Source organism: Homo sapiens, chromosome 9 (assembly GCF_000001405.40).
Source record: "Homo sapiens chromosome 9, GRCh38.p14 Primary Assembly".
NCBI classification, from domain to species: domain Eukaryota; kingdom Metazoa; phylum Chordata; class Mammalia; order Primates; family Hominidae; genus Homo; species Homo sapiens.
The window spans coordinates 19,540,840-19,559,599 of record NC_000009.12 but is presented as its reverse complement, the minus strand read 5'-3'; the positions used below and the strand labels follow the sequence as shown (position 1 = coordinate 19,559,599).

The 18,760-nt window shown below is 43.3% G+C and overlaps 1 protein-coding gene and 1 long non-coding RNA gene across 9 annotated transcripts in view; one reads left to right on the top strand and one right to left on the bottom strand.

Moving 5' to 3' along the window:
• LOC105375988 (uncharacterized) overlaps window positions 1-18,760 on the bottom strand; it is a 93,057-nt gene that overhangs the window by 3,559 nt on the left and 70,738 nt on the right. For 3 of the 4 annotated variants that reach the window (XR_007061431.1, XR_007061430.1, XR_929510.4), the window contains 2 exons: window positions 5,322-5,494; window positions 3,476-3,579 (listed from right to left, as the gene is read on the bottom strand). This is a non-coding gene — a long non-coding RNA (uncharacterized LOC105375988). Of the gene's footprint in view, window positions 1-3,475; window positions 3,580-5,321; window positions 5,495-9,314; window positions 9,400-18,760 lie in introns of those variants that run through there. The other variant, XR_929513.4, reaches the window with a different exon arrangement.
• Window positions 1-18,760, top strand: part of SLC24A2 (solute carrier family 24 member 2) — an 800,438-nt gene that overhangs the window by 748,293 nt on the left and 33,385 nt on the right. For all 5 annotated transcript variants that reach the window (XM_017014592.2, NM_001193288.3, NM_020344.4 and 2 more), the window contains one exon: window positions 9,332-9,463. In XM_017014592.2, the coding sequence (XP_016870081.1) occupies window positions 9,332-9,463 (132 nt within the window). The remainder of the gene's footprint in view (window positions 1-9,331; window positions 9,464-18,760) is intronic.

The window sequence follows — 18,760 nt, the reverse complement described above, 5'->3', positions numbered from 1 at the left end:
CACTTTTGGTAATTTTACCTTCAAGAGTTCCAACTCTACCATTGTTTTCAGCTCTGCACAAAACACAGAATTAAGATGTCACAATATTATGAGTCTTGCCCCCTGCTTAGAAGCTTTGTTTCTGATAGTAAGTCTACTTAAAGCTTGCCTACTGGAATAAAATCGTATTTTCTCCTTAGTGCTGTGAAATTTTGCCTTTCATCTTATTTACAAAGGCTTTCTATTTATTCACATTGCCTGAGAGAATAAGAAATTATTGATATCACTAAAGTCAATGAATGCTTGATAAATATTGGGTAAGTGGATAGATGGAGGTACAAAATTTTTGCATTTTCCACCTTCAAATCAAATAATTATAGAATCATATTGCTGGAAATGTTATAATTCACCTAGTCAAGCTTTTTTTCTCCTACATGTCTTTGAAGAAATTATTTTTCTAAATATTTACTTTAATTAAGTAACATTTGTTTGAATGTTTGAGTGTTCACTATGTGCCAAATACTCTTGTAAGTGCCTTCCTGGATTATCCTAGTTAATTTTATAACAACCATGTTGTAAAAGAATGGGTATTTAAGACAGCCTTGGGCTTGACTTCCTATTTAGTAGAAAACCATATGAAAAGTGGGTCTTTGTCTCTCGATCCCTTCTCCAACCATCCCTGCAATTAGGTAAGACACTCTCAAGATGTCTTCTCCTAGGAGCCTCCCACACACTCACTATATAGGCACATACCTTTTTACCAGTTTCCAAGGAAACCTAATTGGAAAAATAAAACATGCCGCCTTTGTCAGTGAGAGTATTTTCAATGCTCCAATAATGAAAGAGGAGGGAGGTAGGAAGAGAAGCAGGATAGTTCCTTGTTTAAAGATGATGCTGTTTTTGTTGTGCATATTCTTCTCATGGGGCTCTGTTGGCCTTTGAACACTGAATGTTGAAGTCTGAAAATTATCTCCTATTTCAGTTCTTGCTAAAGTTAGCCCCAGGAAAGTTTATTGTTATAAAGGGCTTAATCCATCTTCTACAGTGTCCCCCAGATATCCATTTTAGAAGTAGCCAGACCAAGATTATCCACAGTTATGGGAATCAGGGGTGCCATCAGCAATGAAGTGCACATAAAATCACAAGCCCTCATTTTGGCCATAGTGCACTTGGTTGCCACCTCCTCCCTACATCAGACTGAGCTAAATCTCTATACCTTTTTCTTGGGTAGAGATGCTAAAAGACAAGTCTTTCTTCCTAACTTATATTTGAGGTCCTGATGTTCATTGGTGACTTAGCACCTGCACTTCATTTTTAAATTTGCACCTAGGAACTTGGAGATGTTACTCAGTAAGCTAAAGGAGAGAAGAGGGCATCTCAGTGGCCCCTACTCTCCACACACCCCCAGGTCTGCCCTTCATTTCACTTTCAATGCTGCCGTGGATGTTATATGACTCTGAGAAAAGGAAAAGAATACAACATTCAGATGTTTCTTATCAGCTTTTTAAGGAAATGTGAGGCCTGGAACAGTAGCTCACACCCATAATCCCAGCACTTTGGGAGGCCAAGGCAGGAGGATCACTTGAGTCAGCCTGGGCAACTAAGTGAAATCTTGTCTCTACAAAAAATAAACAAAAATTAGCCATGGTGGTGCATACGTGTAGTCTCAGCTACTTGGGAGGCTAAAGTGGGAGGATTGCTTGAGCCCAGGGAGATGGAGGCTACAGTGAGCTGAGATCATGCCACTGCACTCTAGCACTCTAGTCTAGGTGACAGAGTGAGACCCTGTCTCAAAAAAAAAAAAAAGAAATGTGAGCCATTTAGACCATTAGAAATTAGTTTTAGGCTCAAGAAAATATAAAAAAAAAAAAAGTCAATTAAATGTTTCATTACTGGGGTCTGACCCACAGACCCAGGCTGCACGATGGATGAATAACATACTCAGACACCAATATTCAGTGAAAGAGCAGCTAGGGGGCTGGGCCACTCAGAGCTGTGGCAGCTGCATGCCTTGACTAGCTGGCCCTGCCAGCATTTATTCAGCACAGATTTAATGACAAAGGCTTTGAGTCAACACCACTACAGGGTAATTACACATGGATGATTAAAGGTCACGTTTCTGGAGACATGAGTAAACAAGCTATTCAGATAAACTCCCTTGTATTATTTTGTACCTACTTCTCGCCCTCTGCCCCAGGATAAGAACCACCGCCTTCGGCTCATTCTTCCCCAAAGCTTTGTAAAACACCCCCAGGCCTTCCAAGAAGGTTTGCTTCTCTTTCCTGTAATTTCCTCTTACAATTGTTCCCACCACCCTGACTGAACTCCTACACTTCATGTTTGCTATACCTAGCTTTTATTTTAATGGGTTTAATTTATTACAAAACAAAGCTGAGAATCCTGGTATAACTGGATGTAAAGCCCATTCATATCTATTTTTAGAACTGAGGAAAGTGGGGAGTGTGGAATAGGGGAAGATCCTTAAGCTGGGACTTAGGGGTTACTCAGGGTTGGCCTAGCACTGTCACTTTTGTTCAGCAGGTCACTCCATCTCAGGTTCCCTACCCATCAAATGAGGGGGCTGGTCTCAAGGACAGGACCTTACCTACTCTGAAATTCTGGAGCTCCTTTTCTTGGGGCCTAAAGCTCCTAAATGACTGCAGACATCTATGATTGCAGCTTGTCTGTTGTGATCTATTATTGTCCATATGATTAATTGAGTAAGAAGTTCTTGTACAGGAAGGTAACCCACATTAAAACATCCCAGGAGACAAATGAGCTCTGCCTTGCAATAACATAGTGTTTAACGTCTGGTGGGGCCTAGAAGGCAGTGAGAGGCACTAGTGTTTTTAAAGTCAATGAATTATGTTTTTATGTAAAATACGTAAGTGCTGACATTCTATTTTGACCCAGCATCATTCCACACTGAACAGGCTTCCCAATGATAAGAGGTAGCACTCCTAAGTGTTACAGTGAGCCGGGGGAGAGATGTAAGAACTTCACTCCCAGCCTGAATCAAGCCTCAACTGGGATTTAGGCAAACCTGGGTGATCCTCCGAGATTGCTCCTTGTGAACTGGTGATGAGATGTTATTACCAGTCAATAAAACTGAACTTGAATTAGGCCTATTTTCAGATGCCTCCTGAGTTTTCACTTTAATTCTCTGATAGGAGAGATTGTGTTAAAGTGGGCTCACCTTCACTCTGGAATCTTGCTCAGTGCCCTTCACAGACAAAAAATAAGAAACCGGGTTGCCTCCAAGAAATATTTTTCTGGCTTCTGAGGCAACCTCTGAACTGGTGAATCCAACTCAGGCTTCTCCACCGAAGACCTGATGTTTATTTGGGGGCAAACTTCTATACCAAATTCAAATGGAAAAAGTGTAAGATGTACATGCAAAGAAGCTAAATGGATTATCATGATGCTATGAGCATCTGGACCAGCTACTGCTGTACCTCCCATTTACCAGATAAAAATAAAGGCAAGCTGATTTTACCCTTCCAGTAGATGCTGAGTGACCCGTGAAACTCGTCTTCTGTGCTGTGTAAGAGTTCTGATGGCCGAGCCTCCAGATTTCAATGTTCGGTATTGATAAGAGTCCTAGAAGGCAGTTATCAATTTGTTACCAGTTGTCACTTAGAATAACATGTATATTCTCTTTCTTGAGTCTTTTTTTTCCCCAAGATGGAGTCTGTGTTGCCAGGCTAGAGTGCAGTGGCAAGATCTCAGTTCACTGCAACCTCTGCCTCCCGGGTTCAAGTGATTCTCCTGCCTCAGCCTCCTGAGTAGCTGGGATTACAGGCACCTGTCATCACACCTAGCTAATTTTTGTATTTTTAGTAGAGATGGGGTTTCACCATGTTGGCCAAGCTGGTCTCAAACTCCTGACCTCAAGTGATCCACCTGCCTTGGCCTCCCAAAGTGCTGGGATTACAGGTGTGAGCCACCAAGCCCAACTCTCAAGTCTTTTCAACCTGATAAAGTTACACTAAAATTTCTATTACACCACTGAAGAATGTTACTTTTTTTATTTACGCCTGCCTCACCTTTTTTCACAAGATTCGAGGCTACTTACAAAAATACATCTGAGGAAAAAGGATAAAATGAATGGTTTTGAGAAAATACAGCCCAGGATGAGAAATGACAGTACTAAGACCGCAACATGGTGAGCACAGATCCACCACTGTCATTGTTGGGTACAGGTTACAAATTTGGCTCTGAACTCCCCAGTGAACAAAACACAGAAAGAATCTTATCGATTACATGACTCATAGTATTTCTAAGATTTTTCAGTTTCTCAGAAGAGGTCTGACTTTTCTTAGTGCTGAGATTTGAGAGCTGTTTCTCCCTTGAGTCCTCATAAAGAGAACACTAGATCAGTTAGGATAAACTTGCACTGTAAAGAACTAAAAACCCAAAATAACAATGGCTTGAATAAGATAATTTTTTTTTTAAGAGTGCCCTTTTGATTATCCCTGTGAGAAAGAACATATTGTGATGTGAAGTGGGTGCATGACTTGGGCAGAATTTCCTATAAACACCAAGAAAACCAGTGTTAAGTCCTGCATTTTGACACCTAGTCTAGTGTTAACATGTGGCCCCCTGACCTGCATTAATAAGATATCTTATAGAGAGACCAGATTCCTGCTTCCTATGTAATTCATAGAGTGATCCCAGGCTGCTCAGCAAATGCAGTCACAGCATGTGGGTGCCTTTATCCCGGAAGCATTGCCATCAGTCATCAGTTTCTGATTATCTCTCAAGTCAGTATAGGCAGTCCAGGGCACGAATGGCCCTTGATGGGTGTCAGAAACTCAGAGCCTCATATATTGTTCCTCCACCCCATGGCCCAAGATTATCTTCTGCTGTGGTCAAAATGTCCCCTCCAGCCAGCAAGAAAGAGGAAGGAAGGAGGAAGGGTGCATCCGCACCCTTTAAAGATAGATCCAGGAAGTTGTATGAAGGACACTTCCAATACATCCTTTGGCCAGAACTTAATCACATTGCCACACCTTGCCGAGAAGGCTGAAAACCAGAGTCTTTATTCCAAGCCTAGGTAAAAGCAAGCTTTCCATTTGTTAAAGCATAAAGGCAGTACTGTCATCCCTTGCTATCCGTGGGGGACTGGTTCCAAGATCCCCAAGGTTACCAAATTCCATGGATGCTCAAGTCCCTGATATAAAATGGGGTAGAATTTGCATATAACAAATATATATCCTCCCATATCCTTTAAATCATCTCTAGATTGCTTAGAATGCCTAATGCAATGTAAATGCTATGTAAATAGTTGTTACACTGTATTGCTTTTTATTTGTATCACTTTTTGTTGAAAGCTACTTTACCACAGTTCTGGACGCTAGAAGTCCAAGCAGCAGGTGTTTGGCAGGGTTGGTTTCCTCAGAGGCCTCTCTCCTTTGCTTGCTGCCGCTGCCTTCTTGCTGTGTCCCCATCTTCATGTGGCCTTTCTTCTGTGCAAAGGAACCCCTAGTGTCTCTCTAGGTGTCCTAATCTTCTCCTATAAGGACACCAGGTAGATTTGATTAGGACCCACACTAGTGGCCTTGTTTTAACTTAATTACCTCTTTGAAGATCCTATCTCCAAATAAGTCACATTCTGAGGTACTGGTGGGGGTTGCAGCTTCAACATATGAATTTGGGTGGGGGAGAAGGAAGGGGCATGATTGGAGGGAACACAATTCAGTCCATAATAGGCAGAATAGATACGGGAAGACAAGCAGTAGTCTCTTGCCACGTTAACCGGCCAGCAGCCCTGTAACTGGATAAATACTGCAGTAATTCTTTGGAATCTTCTGTTCTGTCTCACCTTTTAAATCCAAGACTCCTTGAAAGCAGGAGTCCTAGAATTAAATGCAGTGCTTTGCACCTGTAGGTGCTTAGTGACTGCTTGCAGGTGTTGGTGGTAACTACCCAAGGAATCACAGCCTGAGCAGACACTGGAACTCAGGATTCCTGATTCTCTACCACCTACTCTGCCCAGCATGCTGCACTGACTCTTTTAAGTTCTGACAACCAACACACCACCACCCACCATGTGGGAACTTAAAGTCATATGTTTTTGTGTCAGATTTTTCATATCAAAGATTACAAGGCCCTAAAGCTTTACACAATTCTAAGGCTTCTACAGAGACCCCAGCAGATATCAAACTATTTTAAGCCCTCATATCAAAAGCCATTTGAATCCTTTCTGGACCATTTTGCTTTGTTTTGTTTTCTATGGACACTCTGCAGAAATTTTAGGAGGTAAGGGTGAGTTGTCACAAGGTCAAAGCCAGCATACCACAACTCTAGGAAAAGTTGGAAAATCACTGCCCTAACCTCAGTGGCCTCTCCCCTGGAGCATCCAGTTTGAACAAAGACAAAATAAGCCTCAAACTTGGAACAGTATTTTTTTCTTCCACTTCTCTAACCAGCTTGCAAACTGCCTCCCATTGAGCCAGAGTGAGACTTTACTTGGCAAAGATAATTTCACCTAATGTATGCCAACAGCCTTGCTCCTGGGGTACCTCTCAAATCCACCCCAGGATTCTAGGTTCCTGTACTTCCCTGTAGCAGGACTTGGCCCCCAGGAGGCTGTGAAGTTTCCATGGAGAGCCCTGTTGGCACAGCCTGAGACATAGTCTCTTCTCCTAGTCCATTTCTGCCCTAGCAACAGCTACCTCCAATGCAGCTTTGGAAGCTGTTCAATATAGTTAATTGTTTGCATTGGACAGTAGTGTGTTTAGAGCTTATACATCTAAACAGACAATTATTATTTTCTGCTATTTGCTAGTGGCAATGCCTGCCTGGTGACTTTGGCAGATGGAGAAAGGAGCTAATCCGTAGGTTATAAGCAGAAGGGTTATTGATGAAATGTCACCATCTGTTGGTGTCATTAAAATGATATGAGTCATAAAGAGTTGCTTTTGTGTTTTATCAGAAAAAGGTTAGCTTGAAGTCGAGAGAAAAGTTGCTAGATTGTGGATGGTAGTGATGAACAGAGCTAGGGGGAGGCATCAATCTCAGAATGGGGAGGAGCCTTAATGAACTCATCAGCTTGATGGGTCTTCAGGGAAGCTGACTGACTCTCTGCTAGAAAAAAAAATCATCTCTCATGTGAGATGGGGTATTTATTAAGAATGATGCAGTACCCCAAGGCTCCCATGCCTATTTCTGGGGCATCTGCCAGGAGGTAAGGGGAAAGTCATTCATTTGGGTTAAACAAGAAGGATCATATCTGGGAGGGAACAGACAGGAAAATATACCTGTCTCCTTAATCCACATTGGCCCCATGACACAAAGATTATTCACGTAGCTAGCTGACACCTTGGGAGGCTGGTGAGCCCAATAGGGAATGATATTCTCTACACCTGCTATATCCACAAGGAAGAGACAGAGGTGGCATAGAAGAGGGACCAGAGCCAGCACACCAAGCTTCCACCAAAGATGGGAGCCCTCAGGATGGAAGAAAGAAAGCAATGGATGGAATAATATGTGAATTGCATAGAAAGAAATAGGGAGTGTGAGGTGTATATTTAAAAAGGATCCAGGGTACCAAAATAAACTGTCAACTTCCTGATGCTGCCTTATTATTATTATACCTAATCCCTTTAATTCCACCATATTTGCTGTTTACAAATTCTTTTACCCACTGCCAAGGACATATACCCAAAGCAGAAGAACCTGTTGTTACTAACCCTTTTCAATATGGCTTCGCATCCCTTTTTTAAATTATTATTTCAAATTGTAACTCCTAGGGAGAGTTGAAGAGATTGTATAAAACACTATACATACTTTCTGCAGTACCTCAGTTTTGCCAGATAAATAAACAAGACATAGCATTGCTGTGAGCCCGGCCTCTCACCCAGCCCTGACCTCTCCTCAAGGCCAGCTGACCTGAGCCTGCCCCTCATGCCACCTCTGTAGGGACACAGGTGCTGGAGGGGGGCGCTGTTACTGTTTGAAAAGTGTATGGTGCTGGAAGCAAGAGCCCCAGGGGTAGGAGCTTTCTAAAGTTATTTATATGGTCTCAAAAGGAAGCATCAGTGGAAAAGTTCCTGTTGATATTTTTAGATCTGATGCGTGGTCCACTGCTGCACTTTCATTTTCAAACAAGCAGGGAAGGGAGTGATTGATGATGTCTACAGTGCTGTTTTGGAAGTATTGAGGGCTCAGCTGACAGGCTAACGGTCACCCCCTGCTGGGCCCAGACCCTCCCCCTCCATCTCTTCTAGCCCTGACTTCAGAAGCTACTGACTTCAGTGGCTGACAAATAAAACGCTGGCCATTGGCTGCCAAGTCAGAGACTCTGAAGTTTGTTCCCTGGCTCCGACACCCCGTGCAGGTTCACTGTCTTGCTTGACTTGTATTTTCTGTTTCTGAGGACTGAGACATATGTTTGCATAAGTTGTCTTTGGCTGCAAGTACAATGGTTTAGAATTTAGCTGTGGTTAAGCAGGTGACCAACTCACAACCTGAGAAGGGTGTGGGGGTGACAGGGAGAAATGAAGAGAGGTCGGTCAATGGGTACAAACTTACAGTTAGATAGAAGAAATCAGTCCTAATGTTCCTTAGGAGACTAGGGTGACCGTAGCTAGCAACAACACACTATATATTCCAAAGCTAGAAGAGAGGGCTTGGAATGTTACCACACATAGAAATGATAAACACTCAAGGTGATGGAGGCCCCAAATACCCTGACTTGATCATTACACATTCAATGCATGTAAAAAATACATTTACCCCAGAAATACGTAAAATATCAATGAAAGAAAAAAACTCACAACTACACAAAAATCAATGCACTTAGCTATTCCAAGGCCAGTGGGAAGTTAATCTCTCTTAGTAGTATTACTGAATTGTTTCTGTGGTTACTTTCATTTGCCTGATGAAAATCAGTGTTCCAAAAAAAAAAAAAGAGAAAAAGAAATATTTTTTATCAGTGCTCTCCTTCCCAAGGAGCCTGAAAGCTTGTGACTCTGTCTTCAAGGAGAAGGAAAGATGGGGAGATGGTGGTCATCAAGTCTTTTCCTCCACAGATATAGTTTGTTATAAGAAGCTCGTGAATTGTAGTTGTAGCCCACTCCAGTTGAATAATCAGTTGATGAACATGAGAAACTGAAGAGCATTCAAGGAGATAAAAGAAAATTCTTACATGCTCATGGCTGGACAATGTATTATTTGTTCCTAGGACTCAGACTGTGACAAATCTCAAAATCACACATATGAAGCTACTGGAACGAGTCCAGAAAACTGATAAGACATGGAGCTTCCCCTTTGTTCTGTGCTCCTGTTGTTGTGCCTGTGTACATTTTATTTTTTTGTTTGTTTAATTTTACCTCTTTTTCTACCACAGACCGCTGATGAGGAGGAGGACCAGCCTCTCAGCCTTGCCTGGCCTTCTGAAACCCGCAAGCAAGTCACGTTTCTGATTGTTTTCCCCATAGTGTTTCCTCTCTGGATTACGTTACCTGACGTTCGCAAACCTGTAAGTAAAGCATTTTAAAAATAGTTCCCTTGTAAAACATATGGTACATAACAGGGTGCATAGTCTGCTTCAGTTTGTGTTAAAAGGAAAAAGGAAGTACACTTGTATCAAAATCTCACATATACCCCATAAATAGGTACAACTATTATGTAACAAGAAAAAATATTTAAGTTTAAGGAAAAAGAGAAAGTGACATTAAGAATATACAGATTTCTCTGAGCAGACACACAATCACACTGATTGTTCAGGTTATCAAATCTGCATAACAAACTACCCCAAAACTTAGTGGTGTGAAACAACCATCCTTTTAGTCTTTTCTTGGATCCTGTCGATCAAGAATTTGAATAGGGCACATTGTGGATGGCTTGTCTCTGCTCCATTATGTCTGTGGCCTGAAGTAGAAAGACTTGAAGGGTTATGTGTATCTCATCTTGGGGCTACCATCATCTGGAGGCTTCTTTGCCATTTCTGGCACCTGGGCAGAAATGATTCAAAGGTTAGGCTCAGCTGGGACGGTCTACTGGAATGCCTAAACATGGCCTTTTCATGTGACTTGGGCTTCCTCACAGCATGGTAGCCTCAGGATAGTGAAATGTTTTACATAAGAGGTCAGTCAGGACTCCAAGAGTGAATGTTGCAGTGACAGAAGGCAGAAACTGCATGGTCTGTGATGATTCAGTCCCAGAAGTTACATAGATTCACTTCTGCTATGCCCTATTGACCAAAGCAGTCCTAAGTGTGTCTTGATTAAAGGGGGAGGAAACAAAAAGTTTACCTAGAATACGTCAGTGTCATATAGCATATCACTCTCCTGTTGGGAAGAGTGTCAAAGAATTTGCAAACATGTTTTAAAACCCCCACAGCGTTTGTCTCTGAGAAGGTAAGAAGGGCAACTGAAGGTCTGAAGCAGGAAGGTTACTCACATTTTCTTGAACATTCTTGTGACTATCATTACTTTAATCGACTATGTTTACTATCATTACTTTAATCGATTTTATTATCTACCATTATCACATACTGGGTGCTCCGAACGCAACAACATCAGCAAATTACAACCTGAGTATAGACCAAATCAAGAGAATACACCCACCCACTGTTGTTGAAGTGAGTTCTTGGGCCATTGCCCCAGAGGTGAAAGAACTAAGGAGAGGGAAGGAGAAACAGCTCTACTTCTTAGTATAGGACCACACACACAAACTCATTCAACAAAACTGTATACCTAATATGCATCAGATTCTGCACTAAATGTTCCTCGTGAGAGTCTCATTTCTGTTTGGAACAGCACACAGTATACTCGGAAATACAGTCCATCCCAGGGCTGGCCCTTGGCGGGAGCAATGAGAGAAGTCCCAGTGGCTACCCTGGCCATGCTGCAGGGGCTGACTCTCAAAGGGGGACTGCACAGGGAGGAGAGCATTGTGGACAGCTCCATTTTCTTGTTAGGTGCATCAGCCAGGGCAGTCGTCATAACCAACTGCCTTGATTGATTCCTGTTGGTTTGCCACAGTTGCCAATCAGGAGACTTTGATCTGGTCTAATACCTTCTTGATCTTTCAACTCAGATTGGCAAGAGGATGAACATTTTGCCAGCCTTTATTCTAAAAGTCCTTCCCAACCCTGAGAGCCCAAGGCCTTGAGTTATTGGTCCACAGTAAACTATATTATGTAATTTCAGGAAACATCTAGGGTAGGAATATGTATATTGTTGGCATAAGTAGAAAGAAACTTAGGCACAAAGAAGTTAATTTATACCTGGTCATTTCCTAGAAGGTAGGGCTGAGATCCAGACCCAGGTCTATGTGACCACATGGCTTGGGCTTTGCTTCATATTTAGTGATGCCACAAAGTAGAAAAAAAAATCATTTAAAAAAAATCATTTCTAAAAGCACTTGGAATAGAATATTTTGATAACTTCCAGCATAATTTATCATAAGTCTTCAAGAGCTCCTTCATTTGAAAAAGACAGAAGAAAAACCCCATCCCATTACCTTGGCCCTTAAATAATGCAGCCTAGTGGAGAGCCATGTCTTGTCAAGTAGACAACAAGAAAGGACTCCTTGTATGGACTCCCAGCAGTATAGGTTTCCTGGTAAAGGATGCATGACACAGGTGTGGCTCACTTAAAGCAATATTTAAGTTTCTTTATTCAAGATACCATTTTACAGCATCTGCACTATGCAAAGGCCTGGCTTCCTGAAAACCCACAACCAAATAGCTGAATGTGTTTGATTTTTCTTGGCTCACACCACACTGACATTTCTAAGATATGCTTGCATTGTCTCTCCTCTCTCTGTCTGTCTCTCTCTCTCTCTTGCTCTGCTGTTTAGTCCAATGCTTTTGTGTGGCCCTAGGGAGGAAAATCAGGGAGACAGATACAGTTTTCTAAATTCCCAAAAGGGGCCTCATGTGGTGTGGCCCCCAGAAGATGGGGGCAGATTGGTTGATGAGAGGATGTTTGCATACAACCATTGAGGCACTCAGGAAGATGTGCAGGAATGGGAGGAAGATGCCAGTAAGTCAAGGCCCTTGACTCTCAGAATTGGGAGGAACTCTCAGAGAAAGGGCTGGCAAAGTGTTTATCCTCTTGGTAATCCTAGTTGAAACGTCAAAGAAGCTGTTAGGGAAGATCAAAAGCTCCCAACTTCCTAACTGGTAACTTTTGGAAAACCAACAAAAATCAATCAAGGCAGTCGTTACGTGGGTCATGACAACTGCTCTGGCTGATGCCACAATCCGGAGAGGCACAGAGCAAGAAAACAGAGCTGTCCCCAGTCCACTGCTCCCTGTGCAGTCCCCCTCTGAGAGCCAGCACCTGCAGAATGGGCAGGGTAGCCAGCGGGGCTTTACTTCATTGCTCCCCCAAGTGCTAGCCCTGGAATGGACTGGATTTCTTTTGTTTTTCTGAGTACTCTGTGCTATTCCAAGCAGAAATAAGACTCTTAGGAAGAACACTTTGGTTTTTTTCAACTTCCTTCACAAATATTTATTGAGCACCTATTATGTGCCAAACACTGGGCCTTGGCCAGTGCTTAAGAGACATAAAGACAGGGTTGCTGGCAAGATGGCCAAATAGGAACAGCTCCAGTATGCAGCTCCCAGCGAGATCGCCACAGAAGGCAGGTGATTTTTCCACATTTCCAGCTAAGGTGGGGTGTGGGGTGTCGCCTCACCCAGGAAGTGCAAGGGGTCAGGAAATTCTCTCCCCTACCCAAGGGAAGCTGTGAGGGACTGTGCCATGAGGAACAGTGCACTCTGGCCCAGACACTGTGCTTTTCCCACAGTCTTTGCAACCCACAGACCAGAAGATACCCTCCAGTGTCCTGGGTTTCAAGCACAAAACTGAGTAGCCATTTGGGCAGACCCTGAGCTAGCTGCAGGAGTTTTGTGTTGTTTTTTTTTTTCCCATACCTCAGTGGTGCCAGAACACCAGTGAGACAGAACCATTCACTTCCCTGGAAAAGGGGCCGAAGGCAGGGAGCCAAGTGGTCTGGCTTGGTGGGTCCAACCCCCACGGAGTCCAGCAAGCTAAGATCCACAACTTGAAGTTCTTGCTGCCAGCACAACAGTCTGAGGTCAACCTGGGATGCTCAAGCTTGGTGGGGGAAGGGGTGTCAACCAGTGCTGAGGCTTAAGTAGGCAGTTTTACCCTGACAGTGTAAACAAAGCCACCGGGAAGTTCAAACTGGGTGGAGCCCACTGCAGCTCAGCAAGGCCTCTGTGGCCAGACTGCTTCTATAGATTCCTCCTCTCTGGCAAGGGCATCACTGAAAAAAAAAGGCAGTACCCCCAAACATATAGATAAAACCCCCATCTCCCTGGGACAGAGCATCTGGCGGAAGGGGCGGTTGTAGGTGCAGCTTCAGCAGACTTAAACGTCCCTGCCTACTGGCTCTGAAGAGAGCACAACGTTCAAGCTCTGCTAAGGATCAGACTGCCTCCTCAAGTGGGTCCCTGACACCCATGTGTACTGACTGGGAGACAGCTCCCAGTAGGGGCCAACAGACCTACCTCATACAGGAGAGCTCTGGCTGGCATCTGGCAGGTGCCCGTATGAGACAAAGGTTCCAGAGGAAACAACACGCAGCAGTCTTTGCTGTTCTGCAGCCTCCTCTGGTGATATCCAGGCAAACAGGGTCTGGAGTGGACCTCCAGCAAACTCCAACAGACCTGCAGCACAGGGTCCTGTTAGAAGGAAAACTAGGCCAGGTGCAGTGGCTCACGGCTGTAATCCCAGCACTCTGGGAGGCCGAGGAGGGCAGATCACAAGGTCAGGAGATTGAGACCATCCTGGCTAACACAGTGAAACCCGTCTCTAGTAAAAACACAAAAAATTAGGCAGGCGTGGTGGTGGGTGCCTGTAGTCCCAGCTACTCAGGAGGCTGAGGCAGGAGAATGGCATGAACCCAGGAGGTGGAGCTTGCAGTGAGCCATGATTGCACCACTGCACTCCAGCGTAAGCAACAGAATGAGACTCTGTCACAAAAAAAAAAGAAAAAAAAACTAAAAAATAGGAATAGCACATCTACTCAGAGACCCCATCCGAAGGTCACTGACTACAAAGACCGACGGTAGATAAATTCACTAAGATGGGGAGAAACCCGCGCAAAAAGGCTGAAAATTCCAAAAACCTGAACACCTCTTCTCAAGGATGACAACTCCTCACCAGCAATGGAACAAAAATGGATGGAGAATGAGTTTCATGACTCGACAGAAGTAAGCTTCAGAAAGTGGGTAATAACAAACTCCTCTGAGCTAAAGCAGCATGTTCTAACCCAATGCAAGGAAGCTAAGAACCTTGAAAAAAGGTTACGCGAATTGCTAACTGGAATAACCAGTTTCGAGAAGAACATAAATGACCTGATGGAGCTGAAAAACACAGCATGAGAATTCTGTGAAGCATACACAACTATAAATAGCTGAATCAATCAAGCAGAAGAAAGGATATCAGAAAGTGAAGATCAACTTAATGAAATGAAGTGAGAAGACAAGATTAGAGAAAAAAGGATGAAAGGGATCAAACAAAGCCTCCAAGAAATATGGGACTATGTGAAAAGATCAAATCCACCTCTGATTGGTGTACCTGAAAGTGATGGAGAGAATGGAACCAAGTTGGAAAACACTTTTCGGGATATCATCCAGGAGAAGTTCCCCAACCTAGCAAGACAGGCCAACGTTCAAATTCAGGAAATACAGAGAACACCACAAAGATACTCCTTGAGAAGAGCAACCCCAAGACACATAATCATCAGATTCACCAAAGTTGAAATGAAGGAAAAATTGTTAAGGGCAGCCAGAGAGAAAGGTCAGGTTACCCACAAAGGGAAGCCCATCAGACCAACAGCAGATCTCTCTGCAGGAACCTTACAAGCTAGAAGAGAGTGGGGGCCAATATTCAACATTCTTAAAAGAATTTTCAACCCAGAATTTCATATCCAGGCAAACTCAGTTTCGTAAGTGAAGGAGAAATAAACTCCTTTACAGACAAGCAAATGCCGAGAGATTTTGTCACCACCAGGCCTGCCTTACAAGAGCTCCTGAAGGAAACACTAAACATGGAGAGGAACAACTGGAACCAGCCACTGCAAAAACATACCAAATTGTAAAGACCATCAACACTATAAAGAAACAACATCAACTAACAGGCAAAATAACCAGTTAGCATCATAATGACAGAATCAAATTCACACATAACAATATTAACCTTAAATGTAAATGTGATAAATTCCCTAATTAAAAGACACAGACTGGCAAATTGGATAAGCGTCAAGACCCATCAGTGGCTGTATTCAGGAGACCCACCTCACATGCAAAGACAAACATAGGCTTAAAATAAAGGGATGGAGGAAGATTTACCAAGCAAATAGAAAGAAAAAAAAAAAAAGCAGGGGTTGCAATCCTAGTCTCCGACAAAACAGACTTTAAACCAACAAAGATCAAAAGAGAAAGAAGGCCATTACCTAATGGTAAAGGGATCAATGCAACAAGAAGAGCCAACTATCCTAAATATATATGCACACCATTCAGGAGCATCCAAGTTCATAAGGCAAGTTCTTAGAGATCCACAAAGAGACTTACACTCCCACACAATAATAGTGGGAGATTTAATACCCCACTGTCAATATTAGACACATCAATGAGACAGAAAATTAGCAAGGATATCCAGGACTTGAACTCAGCGCTGGAACAAGCAGACCTAATAAACATCTACAGAACTCTCTACCCCAAATCAGAAGAATATACATTCTTCTCAGCACCTCATCGCACTTATTCTAAAATGGACCACATAATTGGAAGTAAAACACTCCTCAGCAAATGCAAAAGAATGGAAATCATAACAAACAGTCTCTCAGACCATAGTGCAATCAAATTAGAACTCAGGATTAAGAAACTCACTCAAAACTGCACAACTACATGGAAATTGAACAACATGCTCCTGAATGACTACTGGGTAAAAAACGAAATGAAGGCAGAAACAAAGATGTTCTTTGAAACCAATGAGAACTAACAACACAACGTACAATCTCTGGGACACATTTAAAGCACTGTGTAGAGGGAAATTTATAGCACTAAATGCCCACAAGAGAAAGCAGAAAAGATCTAAAATCGACACCCTAACATCAAAATTAAAAGAACTAGAGAAGCAAGAGCAAACAAATTCAAAAGATAGCAGAAGACAAGAAATAACTAAGATCAGAGCAGAACTGAAGGAGATAGAGACATGAAAAACCCTTCAAAAAAAAAAAAATCAATGAATCCAGGAGCTGGTTTCTTGAAAAGATCAAAAAATGGATAGACTGCTAGCCAGACTAATAAAGAAAAGAGAGAAGAATCAAATGGATGCAATAAAAAATGATAAAGGGGATATCACCACTGATCCCACAGAAATACAAACTACCATCAGAGAATACTATAAACACCTCTATGCAAATAAACCAGAAAATCTAGAAGAAATGGATAAATTCCTGGACACATACACCCTCCCAAGACTAAACCAGGAAGAAGTCGAATCCCTGAATAGACCAATAACAACTTCTGAAATTGAGGCAGTAATTAATAGCCTACCAAAGTCCAGAACCAGATGAATTCACTGCCAAATTCTACCAGAGGTACAAAGAGGAGCTGGTACCATTCCTTCTGAAACCATTTCAAACAATAGAAAAAGAGGGGATCCTCCCTAACTCATTTTACAAGGCCAGCATCATCCTGATACCAAAACCTGCCAGAGACACAACAAAAAAAGAAAATTTCAGGCCAGTATCCCTGATGAACATCGATGCGAAAATCCCCAATAAAATACTGGCAAACCAAATCCAGCAGCACATCAAAAAGCTTATGCACCACCATCAAGGTGGCTTCATCCCTGGGATGCAAGGCTGGTTCAACATATGCAAATCAATAAATGTAATCCATCACATACACAGAACCAATGACAAAAAGCACGTGATTATTTCAACAGATGCAGAAAAGTCCTTCAACAAAAATTCAACACCCTTCATCCTAAAAAATTCTCAATAAAGTAGGCACTGATTGAACGTATCTCAATAAGAGCTGTTTATGGCAAACCCATAGCCAATATCGTACTGAATGGGCAAAAACTGGAAGCATTCCCTTTGAAAACTGGCACAAGACAAGGATGCCCTCTCTCATCACTCCTATTCAATATAGTATTGGAAGTTCTGGCCAGGGCAATCAGGCAAGAGAAAGAAACAAAGGGTGTTCAATTAGGAAAAGAGGAAGTCAAATTGTCTCTGTTTGCAGATGACATGATTGTATATTTAGAAAACTCTATTGTCCCAGCCCAAAATCTCCTTAAGCTGATAAGCAACTTCAGCACCTCAGGATACAATATCAATGTGCAAAAAATCACAAGCATTCATATACACCAATAAAAGACAAACAGAGAGAAGGGAGGAGCCAAGATGGCCGAATAGGAACAGCTCCGGTCTACAGCTCCCAGCGTGAGCGACGCAGAAGACGGGTGATTTCTGCATTTCCATCTGAGGTACCGGGTTCATCTCACTAGGGAGTGCCAGACAGTGGGCGCAGGCCAGTGTGTGCGTGCACCGTGCGCGAGCCGAAGCAGGGCGAGGCATTGCCTCACCTGGGAAGCGCAAGGGTCAGGGAGTTCCCTTTCCGAGTCAAAGAAAGGGGTGACAGACGGCACCTGGAAAATCGGGTCACTCCCACCCGAATATTGCGCTTTTCAGACCGGCTTGAAAAACGGCGCACCAGGAGACTATATCCCACACCTGGCTCAGAGGGTCCTACGCCCACGGAATCTCGCTGATTGCTAGCACAGCAGTCTGAGATCAAACTGCAAGGCGGCAACGAGGCTGGGGGAGGGGCGCCCGCCATTGCCCAGGCTTGCTTAGGTAAACAAAGCAGCCGGGAAGCTCGAACTGGGTGGAGCCCACCACAGCTCAAGGAGGCCTGCCTGCCTCTGTAGGCTCCACCTCTGGGGGCAGGGCACAGACAAACAAAAAGACAGCAGTAACCTCTGCAGACTTAAGTGTCCCTGTCTGACAGCTTTGAAGAGAGCAGTGGTTCTCCCAGCACGCAGCTGGAGATCTGAGAACGGGCAGACTGCCTCCTCAATTGGGTCCCTGACCCCTGACCCCCGAGCAGCCTAACTGGGAGGCACCCCCCAGCAGGGGCACACTGACACCTCACACTGCAGGGTATTCCAACAGACCTGCAGCTGACGGTCCTGTCTGTTAGAAGGAAAACTAACGACCAGAAAGGACATCTACACCGAAAACCCATCTGTACATCACCATCATCAAAGACCAAAAGTAGATAAAACCACAAAGATGGGGAAAAAACAGAACAGAAAAACTGGAAACTCTAAAAAGCAGAGTGCCTCTCCTCCTCCAAAGGAACGCAGTTCCTCACCAGCAACGGAACAAAGCTGGATGGAGAATGATTTTGACGAGCTGAGAGAAGAAGGCTTCAGACGATCAAATTACTCTGAGCTACGGGAGGACATTCAAACCAAAGGCAAAGAAGTTGAAAACTTTGAAAAAAATTTAGAAGAATGTATAACTAGAATAACCAATACAGAGAAGTGCTTAAAGGAGCTGATGGAGCTGAAAACCAAGGCTCGAGAACTACGTGAAGAATGCAGAAGCCTCAGGAGCCGATGCCATCAACTGGAAGAAAGGGTATCAGCAATGGAAGATGAAATGAATGAAATGAAGCGAGAAGGGAAGTTTAGAGAAAAAAGAATCAAAAGAAATGAGCAAAGCCTCCAAGAAATATGGGACTATGTGAAAAGACCAAATCTACGTCTGATTGGTG